We start from the raw sequence: 17,585 nt of genomic DNA on the forward strand, positions 1-17,585 counted from the left end.
CACCTATTCTGCTTCTTTCTCCCTGTGGTAGGGAAGAACCTAGTTTCCAATGTGTGGCATCTTGATTAAATGGAAAGTACATGGGCTATGGAGCTAAATCATATTAGCTTGAAATTTTAGCTCAGCCACTTACTGAATGTGAGCCTTGGGCTAGTTACTAACCTTGCAAGTTCCAGTTTCCTCATCTGTAAAATGTTGGTAATGTTAAACTCCTTGCAAGGTTGATATAAGAATTAAAGACTATGTATCTTTATCTGTGTCAGTATCTTCATCTCCCAGTATAGTGGTTCATTCATGTTAAGTGTTCAATAAATACTGGCTATTTTTCTCATATCCACCACCTGGGCTGTCGGTCACACCTACTCATTTTCTCTTATACTTTGCTTCACGAATTCCTTCTTCTTTCCTACATCATTAATCTTTTGCTCTCTAGTGGGTCTTTCGTTTTTATTTCTTAAATACACATCTCCCTGATGTTAACAAAGAAACCTCTCTCCCAACCTAAATTCTTCTCTAGCTTCTATATTTTGGCTATTGTTCCCTTCATGAATATATATATATATATATGAATATATATTTCTTTCTATTTGTCCATTAATGCATCTATCCATCCATCTTTATTTTTATTTTTATTTATTCATTTCTTTTGAGATGGAGTCTTGCTCTGTTGCCCAGGCTGGAGTGCAGTGACGCGATCTCAGCTCACTGCAACCTCCACCTCCTGGGTTCAGGTGATTCTCTTGCCTTAGCCTCCTGAATAGTTGGGATTACAGGCATGCACCACCACGCCCAGCTAATTTTTGTGTTTTTAGTAGAGATGGGGTTTACCATGTTGGCCAGGGTGGTCTTGAACTCCTGACCTCAAGTGATCCACCTGCCTTGGCCTCCCAAAGTGCTGAGATTACAGGCATGAGACACTGTGCCTGGCCCATCCATTCATCTTTAAAAATCAGCATACATGTATTGCCCTAAGTGTCTTACCACCTTTTGACTTCTCAACCCCCTGCAGATTTGTTTGTTTTCTACCATTGTGCCAAAAATGATCTCAGCAGTCTCTAATTAATTTCCCAAATGCCAAATCCAGTGGCCTATTTCTAGACCTCATCCTGCTTCACAGCATTTGACATTCCCAATTATGTCTTTCTTCTTGAAATACACTTCCTCCTTGGTCTTTGTGCTGCTGTATTTTCTTGGTTCTCAGTGTTCCTGCCCAGGTAACCCCCTTCCCCTAAACCCTCTAGTCACTTATGTTTTCTTTCTTGCACACAAGTGTAGATGTTGCTAGTAATTGATTATTTATTTGACTGTTTCTTCCTGTTGCTCCTCCTGTAACATTCAGGAGAGCAGGGGTTTTATCTGTTCTGTTTATTGTTTTATTCTCACTACTGAACCCAGTGTCCCAGTGCTTGATATAAAGTGTTAGCAAATACTACTTGAATGAAGAATAGATTTAAAATTTATTCCTCCAAGGTAACTCTCTTAGCCTGCTTCTCAACTATATCCTCCCCACATAGACATCTGTGACCTCTTTCTTTGGACTCTAGATCATGGGTCAGAAAACTTTTTCTTAAAGGACCTGATAGTCCATATATTTAGCTTGCAGGTCATATGGTCTCCATCACAACTACTCAGCTCTGCCACTGTAAAGCAAAAGAAACTATAAATAAAATATCAATTAATAGGTGTGGCTGTGTTTCAATAAAACTTTGTTTACAAAAACACACATCCCACGGGTCATAATTTGCAGAACCCTACTCTAGCTTATGTTTCCAGTAGTTCAGTGAAAACTGTCGCATGATTAACTTAATGATACCTCAAATTCAATTCATCTGACCTGGAATTATCTTCTCTTTCTTCATTCTCCAAAAGCCTCTCCACTTGCTTGTGATACTCAGCTCAGTTTACACTATGCCAATTCTTCTGGTATTGTGGGAGAGAAACCTAAGATAGCTTCATCTTTACATTTTCCTTCCCCCAGTCCAATCAATGACCCCATTCTGACCATTTTGTCTCTGCAGTTTTCCTTACTCAGACCTTGCTGAGCTCAAGCTCTCCTTAACTCTACCTTGATCACTGCCTCCCCTCCTAATCAATCATCCTCATTGTTCTTGAGCAGATATGACCATGCCATTCTCCTCACTCCTCTCAAACCCGTCATTAGTTTCCTGGTGCTTACCGAATACTGTGTAAATTCTTTAACATCGTTTCCAGCCTCCTCACTTCCTTCTTGACTCCCCTTCCTTCATACCTTTGTTCTTTCTTTCCTTTCATCCTGGAATACCTTTCCTGTCCACTGCCCATGAACATATTTATGCTCTAGGTCTCAAGTCAACTGCTACTCACTTGGAGGCCCTTCCCAGCCCCACAAGCCTGGAGAGTCACCTATCCCACTGCACTTCCCTTCTGCCTTGTAGTGTGGGTGAGTTTGGTTCTTTATACCCCTCTTCTCCCCCTTAGTATTGCAAAGCTTCTTGAGGGCAGGGACCATGGCATATCCATCCTCATAGATTGTTGTTTGTGGAACTGAATTACAACTTTAACCCAAGAACCCTTTATTGTGGTCATGGGATGAGTCCCATTGGTTGCTGGAGATCGGAGGTCCTTCCCTGTGCCACTGTGAGTCTGTGTGTGTGTGTAATGATGCTTCTTCCTGCATATGCTTCTATTGTTCCCTTCCCAGGCCTCATAATTATGCTTTGTGAAGTGGCCAAAGGAGGGACGGGAAAATACTTTCTCACTTCTCTGTCCACTTCTGTCAGGCAGATACTCTAGAATAAGAGAACATCATATGTATAGGCTTGGAAGTTTGACAGATTTGAGTTGGAATTCTAGTTTTTTACCTAGATGTGGGCCTTGAGCAGGTTATTAAACCTCTCTCCACATCTAAGTTTTCCCATCTGTCAAGTGAGATTCTAATATCAACTTTATAGGGCTGTTATGAAGATTAAATTAGGTTTTACATACATATTTTTCTCTTCCATATCTGCCTTTCCTCTGCCACATTTTCTCCACTATTTCTAAAGATTTAGGGGCTGATTTGTAGGGGTGGCTTCCAGCGTTCTGAACAGGAGGCCCCTTGAGAGAATCCAGGAAGACCTCCTCAAGGGGTGTCCTTCTCTTTCTGCTTTTGAGGCACTCAATCTCTTCCATCCCCGGATTCTTAGAATTTCACTTTGAATGTTACTCACAATATACTTTTTTTTTTTTTTTTTTTTGAGATGGAGTCTCACTCTGTCACTGAGGCTGAAGTGCAATGGCATGATCTTGGCTCACCGCAACCTCTGTCTCCCAGATTCAAGCGATTCTCCTGCCTTACCCTTCCAAGTAGCTGGGATTACAGGCACCAGCCACCACACCCAGCTAATTTTTTGTTTTGTTTTGTATTTTTAGTAGAGACAGGGTTTCACCATGTTGGCCAGGCTGGTCTCAAACTCCTGACCTCAGGTGATCTGCCTGCCTCAGCCTCGCAAAGTGCTGGGATTACAGGCATGAGCCACCATGCCCAGCCTCACACTATACTTCTTCCTTAAAAAACAGAAAGCTGCCCAGTCCCCACTGGCCACAGTGCATCGGCAGTAGCCGCAGCTAGGCAGAGCATGCTCGGCAGATGAACCCCTTTCCTTGGCTGTGAAATATTTAGCAAATTCTTCACTCTTGCTGGGCTTGTCCATAAGTGGAGGAAGATGACATCAGCCTCTGTCTTCAGTTTGTGTGAGGGAAACAGGAAGGAATGCCTAGTCCATTTCATGAGCATGGAACCACTTCATCATGTGTTTGCTGGGTGCCTGTTAGACCATGACTGCAGCTGTTTAAGTGCTTAGAGGGTCTTTTGGCAGAGACGTTTTGTAGTTTAGATTATTTTCAGAAAGGAGGTGAGATGTGAAAGGTAGAAGCAGCTAGAAGCAGTCTCTGAGCCTCCCAGGTCAGGGAGTGCAAAGCTATTGAATACCAAAATGCTGGCATTTTAAGAAGTATCGTCTGGCTTCATGACTAATGGCTCTGGATGTGAAGTATCCCCAGGAAGATTTTTCAGACAAGGACTAATTTGGCACAGGCTTCTCCTGGAGTCACGGCTCGCAGTGGATGCCACGCACTCCAGAAAGGCAGCGTGTTTGCTGACACACAGGCCTACACACATGTACATGAGGCCCAGTGTTTATCATCACAGCCAGACTGTATTTAGAAGGAATGGAGGAAACAAAACTCCCCAAAGTCACTGAGGCAGTGTTCTTTGGCTGGCAAACAAAAGATGGGCATTGCAGGGAGAGTGGGCTCTTGTGCCAGGTGAGTGGGTTTGGAGGGCTTCTCAAAGGACAAAGCACCCACCCCCAGGCTCTTCTCTGTGCTTATGGATCCACAAAGCCAACAAGTTCCTTTACTACTTGGATTCCAGCTCCAGCATTTCCAGACATCTCAGGGTTTTGTTTCCTGGCCCTCAGTGTGCATAGAGACAAGCATCAGCCTGCCCCTGCCCTCCCGCCCCCACCCGCCCCGCCCCACAAGTAGCCTGTTTGGCCTAGGAATGTGCAACCCTTTTTTCTTTCAAATAACAAGGCCCACAAATACAGATTATATGTGATTATTTAAAAATAGCTATGGTTGGCCGGGTGTGGTGGCTCACGCCTGTAATCCCAGCACTTTGGGAGGCCGAGGCAGGTGGATCATCTGAGGTCAGGAGTTCAAGACCAGCCTGGCCAACATGGCAAAACCCCATCTCTACTAAAAATACAAAAAAATTAGCCAGGTGTGGTGGCAGGTGCCTGTAATCCCAGCTACTTGGGAGGCTGAGGCAGGAGAATCGCTTGAACCCAGGAGGCAGAGGTTGCAGTGAGCCGAGATTGTACCATTGCATTCCAGCCTAGGCGACAAAAGCGAGACTCCTCCTCCTCAAAAAAAAAAAAAAAAAAAAATAGCTATGGTTAGTATGGAAAGGGGGAAAAATAGTAACTTTATAGTGGAGAAAACTGGCAAACACTACCTTAGTGCTATGATTTAAATGTTGGTATCCCCCAATATGAACCCCAAAATTCATATTGAAACCTAATCCCTTATGTGGTAGTATTAAGAGGTGGGGCCTTTCAAAGGTGATTAGGTCATAAGAAGGAGCCCACATGAATGGGATTAATTCCCTTATAAGAAGAGGTCAGAGGAGCTGGGTGCGGTGGCTCACACCTGTAATCCCAGAACTTTGGGAGGCTGAGGCAGGCAGATCACTTGAGTCCAGGAGTTTGAGACCAGCCTGGGCAACATGGCAAGACCCCGTCTCTACAAAAAAGCATGAAAATTAGCCTGGCATGGTGGCACATACCTGTAGTCCCAGCTACTCGAGAGGCTGAGGTGGGAGGATCACTTGAGCCAGGGAGGTTGAAGCTGCAGTGAGCTAAGATTGCACCATTGCCCTACTCCAGCCTGGGCAACAGAATGACAGTGAGACCCTGTTTCAAACAAACAAACAAACAAACAAACAAACAAACAAAGAAGAGGTCAGAGGGAGCTTTTTTGCCCCTTCTGCTGTGTGAGGACAGTGAGAAGTCATCAGCCTGCAACCTGCAAGAGGGCCCTGCTAGAACCCAGCCATGCTGGCACCCTGATCTTGGACTTCCTGGCCTCCGGAACTGTGAGAAATAGATTTCTAATGTTTAAAAGCTATCCAGGTTCATGTGTTTTGTTACAGCATCTCGAACAGACCAAGACATTCAGTCCGGGGATCAAGGTCAACATCAATGATGAGTCACATTGATATTATAATAGTACATACTCCTGAGACGATGTGCTGACAATGGCACATTACCTCTGTGATCTTCCTCCCCAAAACCCACTGCCACAGTCTAATCATGAGAAAAACAACAGTAAAAAAATCCCGACCGGGCACGGTGGCTCACACCTGTAATCCCAGCACTTTGGGAGGCCGAGACAGGCAGATCACGAGGTCAGGGGATTGAGACCATCCTGGCTAACATGGTGAAACCCCGTCTTTACTAAAAATACAAAAAATTAGCCAGGCCTGGTGGTGGGCACCTGTAGTCCCAGCTACTTGGGAGGCTGAAGTAGGAGAATGGCGAGATCCTGGTAGGCAGAGCTTGCAGTGAGCCGTGATCGAGCCACTGCACTCCAGCCTAGGTGACAGAGCCAGAGTCCATGTCAAAAAAAAAAAAAAATCCCAACTGAGGCAGCTTCTGTAAGATACCTGACCAGTACTCTTCAAAACTGTCCAAGTCATCAAAAATAAGGAAAGTCTAAGAAACTGTCAGCCAAGAGGAGCCTAAGGAGATAAGATGAGAAAATGTAATGCAGCGTCCTGGATGGAATCCTGGAATGGAAATAGGAAATTAGGTAAAAGTTAAGGAAAACTGGATGAAGAATGGAGTTTAATTAATAATTATGTATTAATATTGATTGTTGGTATAATGATTTCAACAAATGCACCATACTAACGTGAGATGTTAATAATAGAAGAAACCGGGTGTGGAGTCTATAAGAGCTCTGTGTATTATCTTCACAACTTTTTTCTAGGTGGGGTGGGAAGACAGAATCTTACTCTGTTATCCAGGCTGGAGTGCAGTGGTACAATCTGGGCTCACTGCAACCTCTGCCTCCTGGGTTCAAGCGATTCTTGTGCCTCTGCCTCCTGAGTAGCTGTGATTACTGGGATTACAAGCGTATGCCACAGTGCCTGGCTAATGTTTTCCCATTTTTAGTAGAGACAGGGTTTCACCATGTTGGCCAGGCTGGTCTCAAACTCCTGGCCCCAAGTGATCTGCCTGCCTCGGCCTCCCAAAGTGCTGGGATTACAGGTGTGAGCCACTGCACCTGGCCACAGCTTTTTTGTAAATTTTAAACTCTTCTAAAATAAAAAAAAATTGATTTAACAAATAGCTAATGTTCACATCAATTCATTAAAAAAAAAAAAAGAGAGAGAGACTCTCTGACTTGGAAAGAACCTCAAAAGTCACCTGGTCAAATGGTGTTTGATATTGATTTCTTTATACAAAAACACTACCCAAACATGATATTAAGTGGAAGTCCAATGACATGAAATAAATGCAGACTTGCTCTGGCGGCAGTGGGGAAGGAGCCCCTGTGTCCACCCATCTGCTTCCTTCCTCACCTCCTGCCTGTCTCTGGGCATTGCTGAGCAACGTCTGGCACTCTGTACGCATCACCCTGCTCCTTGAATCCCTCTTCTCCTCATAACCTCCCAATCTTCCTTGAGCATCTATCTCTAGAAATGGATATCCGTCCAAAAACAAAACAAAATAAAAGAGTTTTTATCTTTGTAATGAATTTTCACTACTGTTATGATTCTCAGCATTTTTTTACATGGGTCAAATCCGTGTGTAATTTCTATTTATAGAATTTTATAATGGCTTTGAGTCCATATAGAATATATGTCAAATACAACCTTTCCAGGTAATTTTTCTAGTTTTTGAAGACATTCTTTTGCTCTCCCTCACTCCCATTGCTTATTTCCTTTGCAGGATTGATAATTTCTGTCCTTTCAACTGGTTGATAGTGGCAGACTGGTATGCCACTTTTCTTTGACCCCATCTAGGCCAAACTCATGTTTGCTTTCCATGACCTCATCTAGGAGCTCCCTTAGCTTCCCTTTCTTCCCATCTCACTTGATTCCATGGCACTTTACTCCACCACTCTCTTCCCAGTATCCTTAACTCTCATGCTCACTGCCCTTTGACTGAATGCAGCTTGCAACCCAGGCTTAGATCCACTCAGCTGCCCGCCTTTCCTTCTTCTAGGCCACTGAGTGTTACCGGAGGGACGCACACAAGCACATGGCCTGTGCCACTCTAAATTTGCAGTTTCTAAACTTGGCCCTTCTTGCTGGACATCACATTTCTCTCTACCCAGCTCTGCTCTTTTTTCACATTAGCTATTTCAGATCTCCACTTTCCTCAAGCCCATAATCCCGCCACTTGCCCTACTTCATCTCAGCTGACAGATTCTTAGTACTATTTTAAAAATAAAATTGAAATCATGAGATGAGAGCTCTTGCAACTTCTTTACCCCATACCCAGGAGCTTACCTGCAGCCTTACTCTTTCTCTCACCATTAGTGTTGTGAGTCTAATCTTCTCTTGCTTTCTCAGACCTTGTATAATCTATTGTTCCTTATATATCTAACTTTCTGTCACCTCATTGAAATCTCTCTGCCGAGATCACTAAAGTCCTTCTTGGCATCTTGATTTTAGTTTGTTTTTTGTTTGTTTGTTTGTTTGAGAGAGAGAGTCTCGTTCTGTCACCCAGGCTGGAGTGCAGTGGCATGATCTCGGCTCACTGCAACCTCCGCCTCCTGGGTTCAAGCAATTCTCCTGCCTCAGCCTCCCAAGTAGCTGGGATTACAGGTGACTGCCAGCACGCCTGGCTAATTTTTGTATTTTAGTAGAGATGGAGTTTCACCATGTTGGTCAGGCTGGTCTTGAACTCTTGACCTCAATTGATCCGCCCACCTTGGCCCCCCAAAGTGCTGGGATTACAGGTGTGAGCCACCACACCCGGCCAATTTTACTTAATTCTTTCACCAAATATGTGACTAAGCACTTACAATGTACCAGACATGGCACTATGCCATGTGGATACATCTATGAAAGAGGCAGGTGGAATCACTGCTCTTTCCAAGCCACTGCGTGTGCATGGGGCCAGGGATAACAAACAGAGGAGCAAGTACATTTACAAAATGTCAGGAGATTAGTGACAAATTCTGAGGGCAGAGGGTAGAGAGGTTATTACTTTAGCTCAGCTGAACAGTGAAGTCCTCTCTGAGGAGGTGGCATCTGAGCTGAGATCTGAATAGAGTGAGGGACTGGACCATTCATGGATCCTGGGGGAAGAGCATGCAATCAGTGGGAACAGCGAAGACAATGACCCGGAGTTAGGAAGGAGTGTGGTACACTTGAAGAACAACCAGAAGCCCATGTGACTGGGTCAGAATGAGTAAGTTAGAAAGGGTAGAAGAGGAGAATGAAAGCAGGGACAAGTCTCCAGATCGTATGTCTTTGCCCTCTGAATGCATTCTAGTTTTAGCCTCCAGGTTTTTCTCCTATTTCTCCTGCCACTCCTACTCAGCCTTTTTTCAGACTCTGCTCTTCTGCTTGTCCTTTAAGTATTGGTGTTTGGCAAGATTCTATCCTAAGCCATCCTCTCTTTTCTTTGGATATCTTATCCCTGGGCAGAGCACAGAGAAACCACTCAATAAAGGTTGGTTGACTCAGATTACTGTCAGTTTCATATCAATTCTGGCAACTCTCCTCAGACCAAACTTCAGTCTACCTATAAAGCTATGGAATTATGGCCTGATACTCATATTATACAGTATGCATGACCAAGCAAAGAGGAAAATGGGATTCTCTCCTCCCTTAATTTTAAGTTTTATCATTCTATAAAGTCTGTGTCTTAGTCATCACTACAGCCCTAATGCCTGGTGCAGTGCTTGGGTGACTGTTGAATGAATTTATGAATCCAATAAAAGAAAGGCAGGATTTATTCCTTGGCAACTAGTTCATACTACTGACTAATAGTTAATATTACTCCTATCTACTTTTATACTCCTAGAGATAAATTTTCAGAACTTCACAGGCTGCCTGTGAGTCTGTTACATTTCATCTTGTTATATTTGGCTCATTGTTCATGAATTTCAAGATTTTTAGACGTTTTACTTCAACCACTTTTCTTCTGAGTTTCACTTCGCCTTTGGTTTTGACAAGAATGCCTTTTGTATCTTCAGTTCAGTCATTGATAAGATTGTTGAACAGGATGAGGCCAGACACTCAGAGAGCTCTCCAGATAATATGATAATTTCTAAACCCTGCTCTGTGACTAATAAATGAGCTTTTAGAATAATGAAATCATTTAATTTGGATGCTAGAAGGGACATTGAAGATCATTAGTCAGGCCTGGGTATTTTACAGATGAGGAAATCAAGACTCCTATACATTAAGTAATTTCCCCAATAACACGCAGTTATTAGGGAAAGTGCTGGGAGGGAGAACCAAATGCCAGTTACTTTAGCTTTCCCTGTGCAATTTATCTTTATCCTTTCCTTTTTATTTCTAATGTCTATTATATGTTTCCACATAACAAATTACCCAGAACATAGCAAGTTAAAACATTAATAACCACGGTTTATTGCCACAGAATCTGGTTTGGGAGAAGCCTGACAGGGTGGTTTTAGCCTAGGCTCTCTCAGGAGGTTGTGCTTAGATGGCAACCGTGGCTGCAGTCATTTGAAGCATTGACTGGGGCTGGAGGATCCAGTTCCAAGATGGCACACTCACAGAGATGGCTAATGCATGCTGGCAATGATAGGTCTCAGTTTCTCACCGCGTGCATCTTTCCTTGGGCTGTTTGAGAACCCTAAGAACATGTTAGCTGCCTTCTCCCAGAATGAATGATCTGAGAGATTGAGAAAGCCACGGTGGTTTTTGTTTGTTTTGTTTATTGTTTTTACAAGCTCCCCACAGAAGTCACATCCTGTTGTCTTTGTAATCCCCTGTTGGTTACCCAGGTCCACCCTCTTCAATGTGGAAGGGGACTGACTACACAGGCTTGAACACCAGAAGGTGGGGTTTGCTGGGGCTGTCTCATGGTCTGTCTACCACATTTGGCCAGCACCTCGACTGGGGCTCTTTTTATCTTTGAATAGAGTAAACCTATAACCTCTGAATGATCTTCCCATCTCTCTTCAATTTCATTCTCTTTCCACTGCAAATCCCTTACAACTGCCTGATGAATCTTGGTAAAATGCAACTCTGAAAAGGTCATCCTTATTCTACTCTTTTGCACTCTGATTTTTAAAAAATGGTTTAAAGGTTTCTTGTTACTAAGATGATCATATAATTTATTATCCAAACCAGAGCAATTTTGAGAATGAAATGAGATGCTATTAGCAATTACGCATGAACCAGACATGTAAATTAGTACTGCCTTGAGAAATCCAGGACATATGGTCATTCTTTTGCCTGCTATTAAAAATAAGAACATTATTCTGTCCATTTTTTTATATTGGCAACAGCTTTCTAGTTTATAATTTTCTCTCTTACTATCAGCATTGAGATTCCTTCTGCTCTATCCAATGATACCATTTTGTGTCTCTCAAACATGGCCAGGCTTTAACATATTCTTGCTTTTGCATATACTATTCCTTCCAAATGGAACGGCCTCTCCACTTCCGTATTTGTGGACTCCAATCTTCTCTTCAAGGCTGCAATTGCAGCCTCCTCCCAACACATTGTGATGCTTCATCTTGAAACCTCCATAGTACTTTTTACCTTTTCTGTCCTTCCCTTCTTTCTCCCATCTCTCTTCTCTTCTTTTCATTTTTCTTAGATAATTCTTGAGCATCTTCTATGTGCTAAGCTCCATTCTAAGTATGTTCATGAACTTAGCATAAACTTTTTCTGGTAGTTATTTATGTACCTGTCTTGTTCCCTGCCTTAAATCATTTTGTGCTGCTATAACCGAATACCACAGACTAGGTAATTTACAAATAAGAGAAGTTTATTTCTCACAGTTCTAGAGGCTGGGGAGTTCAAGATCAAGGTGCCAGCAGGTTTAGTGTTTGGTAAGGGCTTGGTCTCTGCTTCCAAGATGGCAACTTGAACATTGCCTTCTCTGGAGGCGAGGAACCCTGTTCCTCACTTGACAGAAGAGTGGAAGAGACAAAAAAGAGAACAAGAGAGGGCCAAACTCACCATTTTATACCAATCCCACCCATGGTGGGGAGCCCTCATGGCCTAATCACCTCTTAAGGTTCCCACTTTCTAATACTGTTATGATTAAATTTCAAAATGAATTTTGGAGGGGCCAAACATTTGAAACATAGCATCCCCCCTACAAGTTTATAATCCCCTAAGTATAGGACTGTATCATACTCATTTAGCCAGGATCTCAATGAATGTTGCATGAATGTTTTGGGTTCTTAATAAATTCTAGTTTAATGAAATAAAACAGATTCTGGGAAAGAAAATTTCTGCAAAGGTATTATTGTGTAGATTTTCATACTAAGGAAAGGCTTCTTTATTAAAAGTGGCTTTCTTTCTCAGCTAAACATAAATAAAATTAAATAAGATTACATAGTAAAATTGGGGGAAGGTATAAAGGGAAACATGAATTCTCCTTTCTTTAAGGCTCATGTTTCCCTTTATACATTCCCCAAGTTTCCAATACATCCCCTTCATATACAGCCAAATGATGCCTGCCCTCATTAACAACAACAACAACAACAACAAAAAGTGAACGTTTGCATGGTTTCCTTTGCCTGTTTACCTTCCTCACCAAAAAGGACAAAGAAAATATCAGAGTTCCCCCAGGTGAGGTGTAGGTTTTACTTATCCAAGCAGTCACGTATGCTTGAGTAGTGGTTTTCAATCTTAGCTTTCCATTACAACCAGTTAAATCGTGTTTAGAAATTCCAACATCCAGGCTGCACCTCAGACCAAAGAGATGAGAATCTTTGTGGGTGAGACCCAGGCATCAGTATTTTTTAAAGCTCTTCAAGTGATTCCAATGAATAGCCAAGGATGAAAACCCCTGTGCTCAACCAAAGAGCCCTGGTTAGGTAATAAAGAGACCTAAGTTACTCAGTGACCTTAGAGAAGTTTCTTTTTCTCTTCTGTGAAATAGGATCTCCTTTTAAAAATATTTTCTGTCTTGCAGAACTGTTGGGAAACTCAAAGGAGGTATCAGAGATAAAAGGCAACTAGGATAAAGACTAGAAGACTGTAATCTATTTATTAGTAGCTTATATTTAGTAGTAGTAATAACTTGGTCATTCTTTGAAAAACTGAGGCTGGGGTCGATGAATGGACCCAGCTGTGGTACAGAGGAAAGTTCCTTTCCCCCTCCTTGCTACTCCTTGGCTTCCCTGACCCACCAGACTCCTCCATGGAAAAGTCCTCTTGCTGCTTCCCCATATGCATTTTTTTCTTTTTTCTTTTCTTTTCTTTCCTTTTTTTTTTTTAGATGGAAAAGTCCTCTTGCTGCTTCCCCATATGCATTTTTTTCTTTTTTCTTTTCTTTTCTTCTTCTTCTTTTTTTTTTGAGACAGAGCTTAGCTCTTGTTGTCCAGGCTGGAGTGCAATGGCACAATCTTGGCTCACTACAACTTCCGCCTCCCAGGTTTAAGCAATTCTCCTGCCTCAGCCTCCCAAATAGCTGGGATTATAGGCATGTACCACCACGCCTGGCTAATTTTTGTATTTTTAGTAGAGATGGGGTTTCGCCATGTTGGCCAGGCTGATCTCGAACTCCTGACCTCAGGGGATCCGCCCGCCTCAGCCTCCCAAAGTGCTGGGATTACAGGCATGAGCCACCACTCCCAGCCCCCATATGCACTTCTATTTCCTTATGACTTAGAAGTGCTGTGCCATGTGTCCCACTGCTCTGCTGCCTCTCCCACCCCAAATGTGATGAATCCAGAGAGAACTGCCTATTCTTGACCTCAGGGATTTTACTTTGTGGTTTGCAAGAATATCTTGGTGCCTAGAGACAAGGACTTAGCTACAGACTGGGGTTTCCTGTTGAAATATTTTGTGCATTTTGCTCTAATTTAGGCAGAGAGGGAAAAACAGAAACTTTGCTAATTATCTGTCATTATGGGGATAATGATAGCTAATATTTATTGAATATTTTGTGTGAGCAAGATCTTTACTTGCAGAATCTTAATTAATATTCATACCAATCCAGCAAGCTGAGTACTATTTTTTTTAACTCAACTTCACTGGGGTATAATTTACATATAATAAAATGCAGATTGATGAGTTTTGACAAATGTATACATTTTATAACACCAAAATCAAAATACAGAATGTTTCCCATTACCCTAACATTTTTTCCTGTGCTTATCTTCGTTCAATTAAAAAACAAAACAGGCCAGGTGTGGTGTCCCCCGCCTGTAATCCTAGCACTTTGGGAGGCAGAGGCGGGAGGATCACCTGAGGTCAGGAGTTCGAGACCAGCCTGGCCAACATGGCGAAATGCCATCTCTACTAAAAATACAAAAAAAAGTTAGCTGGGCATGGTGGTGGGTACCTGTAATCCCAGCTACTCGGGAGGCTGAGGCAAGAGAATTGCTTGAACCCGGGAGTTTGCAGTGCAGTGAGCTGAGATCATGCCATTGCACTCCAGCCTGGGTGACAGAGCGAGACTCTGTCTCAAAAAACAAAACAAAACAAAACAAAACAAAACAAAAACAAATGAAAAATATTTGACCCAGGCAATCATTGATTTGCTGTCACTAGATTAATTTTGCTTATTCTAGATTAAAAAAATCTTGTTTGAGACAGGCTCTCACTCAGGCTGGAGTGCAGAGGTACAATCATGGCTCACTGCAGCCTCGACTCTCAGGCTTAAGTGATCCTCCTGCCTCAGCCTCCCAAGTAGCTGGGACCCCAGAGTGTGCCGCCACATCTGACTAATTTTTTTATTTTTTGTTTTTTGTAGAGACAGAGTCTTGCTATGTAGCCCAGGCTGGTCTCGAACTCCTGGGCTCAGGCAATCCTCCCACCTTGGCCTCCCAAAGTGCTGGGATTACAGGTGTGAGCCACCACACCCAACCTAGAATTTCATGTATAAGTACATAGAATATGTACTTTCCCATCTGGCCTCTTACCCTCAGCATATATAATGGTTTTGAGATTCATCTACATAGCTGCAAATAACAGTAGCTTGTTCCTTTTTATTAATGAAGAGTATTCCATTGTTTGGGTATACCATAATTTATCTATTCACCTGTAGACGGACTTTTGGATTTTTTCTAATTCTGGGCTATTAAAAATTAAACTGCTAAGAACATTTAGGTACAAATCTTTGCATAGACATGAATTTGTTCCTCTAGAGAAAATACTCAGGAGTGAAATTGCTCAGTCGTATAGTAAATGTATGTTTGAAAAACTATGAGTTTTCCAAAGTGCTTTATCTTAGTTAATTTTCTCTTACCATGACAGAATACCACAGACTGGATAATTTATAAAGAAAAGTTTAAAAACTATATTTCTTACAGTTCTGGAGGCTGGAAAGTTAACTTCAAGAAGGCACTGGTGAGGGCCTTCTTGCTGTGTCATTGCATGGCAAGAGAGCAAGAGCATGCCAGCTAAGGTCTCTCTTCTTCTTATAAAGCTGCCAATTGCATCATAAGAGCTCACCCTAATAACCTTATCTAATCCTAAATACCTCCCAAAGAGCCCACCTTCAAATAGATCGACATATTAATTTTGGGATTAATTTTTGAACACATGAAATCTAGGGGACACATTCAAACCATAGCATACTTGTATCAATTTATACTCCCATTGGCAGTGTATGAGAAATCCAGTTGTTCCACATCCTTGGCACCACTTGGTATTGTCAATTTTTTTATTTTAGCCATTTTAATAGGTGTGTAGTGGTATCCTATTGTGGTTTTATTTACATTTCCCTGTTGACTAATGTCACTAAGTTTCTTTTCATGTATTTATCGGTCATTTATATATTTTCTTTTTTTATTTGAATATCTTATTAAAAAACAACTTTAGTGCGGTATGCTTGACATACAAAAAGCTGTACATATTTAATGTATACAACTCAATGAGTTTAGGAATAAGTATACATCTGTGAAATCATCATCACAACCTGTGCCATAAATCTGTCCATTGTCTCCAAAAATTTCCTCCCACCCACTTTTATTATTATTATTATATGTATGTGATAAGGAAACAACATAATATCTACCTTCTTAGCAAATTTTTGAGTATACAAAACAATATTGTTAACTGCAGGCACTATGCTGCCCAGGAGATGTCTAGGACTTACTTATCTTTTATAACTGACACTTTGTACACCTTGACTTATACTCCTCATTTCCCTCTCTCCCAGTCTCTGGCAAACAACATTCTATTCTCTGTTACTACGACTTTGACTTTTTTAGATTCCATATATAAGTGAGATCACGCATTATTTGTCTTTCTGTGCCTGGCTTATTTCACTTAACATAATGTCCTGCAGGTTCATCCATGTTGTCCCAAGTGATAGTACTGACTTCTTTTTAAAGGCTGAAGAATATGCCATTGTATTTAAGTATGCCACATTTTCTTTATCCATTCATCCTATTGTGAATAGTGTTATTCATGTTATTCATGCTATTGTGAATAGTGCTGCAATGAACATGGAAGTGCAGGCATCTCTTTGAGATCCTGATTTCAGTTTCTTTGGATAAATACCCGGAAGTGGGATTGCTGGATCATACAGTATTTTATTTATTTATTTTTTTTGGAACCTCCATAATGTTTTCTATAGTGGCTGTACAAATTTACATTCTCGCCAACAGTGTGCAAGAGTTCCCTTTTCTCCACATCCTTACCATACCAACACTTACCTTTTGTATTTATTTATTTATTTATTTGATGTAGTCTTGCTCTGTTGCCCAGGCTGGAGTGCAGTGGCATGATCTCGGCTCACTGCAACCTCCGTCTCCCGAGTTCAAGCAATTCTCCTGCCTCAGCCTCTTGAGTAGCTGGAATTAAATGTGCACCACCCACCACGCCACCACGTCTGGCTAATTTTTGTATTTTTAGTAGAGACAGGGTTTTGCCATGTTGGCCAGGCTGGTCTCAAACTTCTGACCTCAAGTGATCTACCTGCCCCTAACTCCCAAAGTGCTGGGATTACTGCACCTGGCCCTTGTATTTGTTTTTGTTTTACAATAGCATCCTAACTTGTGTGAGGTAATATCTCATTGTTGTTTTGATTTGAACCTGGTAACCATTTATATGTCTTCTTTAGAGAAATGTCTACTAATGTCTTTGGTTCATTTTGTAATTGGGTTATTTGGTGTTTTGCTATTGAGTTGTAGGAGTTCCTTGCATATTTTCTATATTAACCTATTATTGGATATATGGTATCTGAGTCCATTTGGGGTACTGTAACAGAACACCATAGACCGGATACCTTATAAAAAATAGAAATCAGGCCAGGCATGGTAGCTCACGCCTGTAATCCCAGCATTTTGGGAGGCCGAGGCAGGCAGATCACCTGAGGTCAGGAGTTCAAGACCAGCCTGACCAATATGATGGAACCTCGCCTCTACTAGAGATACAAAAATTAGTCAGGCATGGTGGCATGTACCTATAATCCCAGCTACTCGGGAGGCTGAGACAGGAAAAACGCTTGAATCCGGGAGGCAGGGGTTGCAGTGAGCCGAGATCGTGCCATTGCAATTCCCCTTGGGCAACAAGAGCGAAACTCTGTCTCAAAAAAGAAAGAAAATAAATATATAGAAATGTATTTCTCATAGTCCTGAAGGCTGGAAGTCCAACATTAAGATGTGGGCAGATTTGATGTCTGGTGAGGGACTGTTTCCTCACCATCTTCTTGCTGTGTCCTCATGTGCAGAAGTGGTGAGGGAGCTCTCTGGGGTCTCTTTCATAAGGACACTAATCCATTCATGAGGGCTCCACCCTCATGACCTAACCTCCTCCCAAAGGACTCACCTCCTAATTCCATCGTACTGGGGGTTAGGATTTCAACATATGAATTACAGGGAAACATAATATTCAGTCTACAGTATATGGTTTGCATATATGTTCTGTCATTCCTTAT

At 42.0% G+C, this 17,585-nt stretch overlaps 1 protein-coding gene across 8 annotated transcripts in view, besides 1 other annotated feature; it reads left to right on the top strand.

Moving 5' to 3' along the window:
• The window catches only part of GRAMD1B (GRAM domain containing 1B), a 269,346-nt gene that overhangs the window by 24,819 nt on the left and 226,942 nt on the right, over positions 1–17,585 (top strand). The window lies entirely within an intron of this gene.
• Positions 8,957–9,016: an enhancer, noted in NCBI's record as "active region_5681". NCBI's record gives its function as "activates an Ori minimal core promoter by ATAC-STARR-seq in GM12878 lymphoblastoid cells {active_cell/tissue: GM12878}" and the evidence as "EXISTENCE:reporter gene assay evidence [ECO:0000049][PMID:35858748]".

This window comes from Homo sapiens, chromosome 11 (genome assembly GCF_000001405.40).
Source record: "Homo sapiens chromosome 11, GRCh38.p14 Primary Assembly".
NCBI classification, from domain to species: domain Eukaryota; kingdom Metazoa; phylum Chordata; class Mammalia; order Primates; family Hominidae; genus Homo; species Homo sapiens.